The sequence below is a fragment of the Homo sapiens genome, chromosome 9, assembly GCF_000001405.40.
Source record: "Homo sapiens chromosome 9, GRCh38.p14 Primary Assembly".
Classification (NCBI taxonomy): domain Eukaryota; kingdom Metazoa; phylum Chordata; class Mammalia; order Primates; family Hominidae; genus Homo; species Homo sapiens.
In genome coordinates this window covers 101,820,226-101,822,500 of record NC_000009.12, presented here as the reverse complement: position 1 = coordinate 101,822,500, position 2,275 = coordinate 101,820,226, and positions in this window count along the sequence as shown.

Here is a 2,275-nt window from a genome sequence, read left to right as displayed (position 1 = left end):
TTCCCAAACAGTCAGTACCAATTTGCCTTTTAAGAGAGTGAGCTATCATATAAATGACTTCTCTGGATCCAGAAAAGCCTAGTACTTGACCTACAAAATCATGAGCAAAATAAAATTGCTCTTTTAAGACATTATCTTTTGGGGTATTTTCACAGGCAACCGGCACCCACTATAAAAAGCTGTCACCTCATATGAGATAACATCCTCAAGACATTTTGAGTAGTTTAATCCAGATCACCAGAAACCCCCTTTATTTTATCTCCAAGCAAACACGTATTTCCTGCCTTTCAGTAATGTATGTTCTAAAAGAGGAAAAACACATTGAGATACAAAAGCACATTATAAGACAGAAAACTCTATGTTCCATTTCCTATCATTTACCTTGATGTGAACAACCATCTCCAAAAGGGGGACTAGTTGCCATTGCTTCATATCTCCCTCTCATCTTTCACCTACTTCTCCCTTTGCAGTCTTGGGCACACCATTGTGGCCTCCTCACCTATTCCCACCTCTTCTCTATAATTTTTTATTATACTTTAAGTTCTCGGATACATGTGCAGAACATGCAGGTTTGTTACATAGGTATACATGTGACATGGTGGTTTGCTGCACCCATCAATCCATCATCTACATTAGGTATTTCTCCTAATGCTATCCCTCCCCTTGCTGCCCATCCCCAACAAGCCCCAGAGTGTGATGTTTCCCTCCCTGTGCCCATATGTTCTTATTGTTCAACTCCCACTTATGAGTGAGAACATGTGGTGTTTGGTTTTCTGTTTCTGTGCTACTTTGCTGAGAATGATGGTTTCCAGCTTCATCCATGTCCCTGCAAAGGACATAAACTCATTCTTTTTCATGGGTGTATAGTATTCCATGGTGTACATGTGCCACATTTTCTTTATCCAGTATAACATTGATGGGCATTTGAGTTGGTTCCAAGTCTTTGCTATTGTGAATAGTGCTACAGTAAACATACGTGTGCATGTGTCTTTATAGTAGAATGATTTACAATCCTTTGGGTATATACCCAGTAATGGGATTGCTGGGTCAAATGGTATTTCTACTTCTAGATTCTTGAGAAATCGCCACACTGTCTTCCACAATGGTTTAACTAATTTACACTCCCACCAACAGTGTAAAAGCATTCCTATTTTTCCACATCCTCTCTAGCATCTGTTGCTTCCTGACTTTTTAATGATCACCACTCTAACTCCCATGAGATGGTATCTTATTGTGGTTTTGATTTGCATTTCTATAATGGCCAGTGATAATGAGCTTTTTTTCATATGCTTGTTGGCTGCATAAATATCTTCTTTTGAAAAGTGTCTGTTCATATCCTTCACCCATTTTTGATGGGGTTGTTTGTTTTTTTCTTGCAAATTTGTTTAAGTTCCTTGTAGATTCTGGATATTATCCCTTTGTCAGATGGATAAATTGCAAAAATTTTCTCCCATTCTTTAGGTTGCCTGTTCACTCTGATGATAGTTTCTTCTGCTGTGTAGAAGCTCTTTAGTTTAATTAGATCCCATTTGTCAATTTTGGCTTTTGTTGCAATTGCTTTTGGTGTTTTAGTCATGAAGTCTTTGCCCAGGCCTATGTCCTGAATGGTATTGCCTAGGTTTTCTTCTAGGGTTTTTATGATTTTAGGTCTTACATTTAAATCTTTAATCCATCTTGAGTTAATTTTTGTATAAGGTGTAAGGAAGGGGTCCGGTTTCAGTTTACTGCATATGGCTAGTCATATGAGCATACAACATTTATTAAGGAGGGAATACTATCCCCATTGCTTGTTTTTGTCAGATTTGTCAGAGATCAGATGGTTGTGGATGTGTGGTGTTATTTCTGAGGCCTCTGTTCTGTTCCATTGGTCTATATATCTATTTTGATACCAGTACCCTGCTGTTTTGGTTACTGCAGGCTTGTATTATAGTTTGAAGTCAGGTAGCATGATGCCTCCAGCTTTGTTCTTTTTGCTTAAGATTGTCTTGGCTATATGGGCTCCTTTTTTGTTCCATATGAATTTTAAAGTAGTTTTTTTCTAATTCTGTGAAGAAAGTCAATGGTAGCTTGATGGGAATAGTATTGAATCTATAAATTACTTTGGGCAGTGTGGTCATTTTCACGATATTGATTCTTCCTATTCATGAGCATGGAATATTTGTTTGTGTCCTCTCTTATTTCCTTGAACAGTGGTTTGTGGTTCTCCTTGAAGAGGTCCCTCACATCCCTTGTAAGTTGTATTCCTAGGTATTTTATTGTCTTTGTAGCAGTTGTG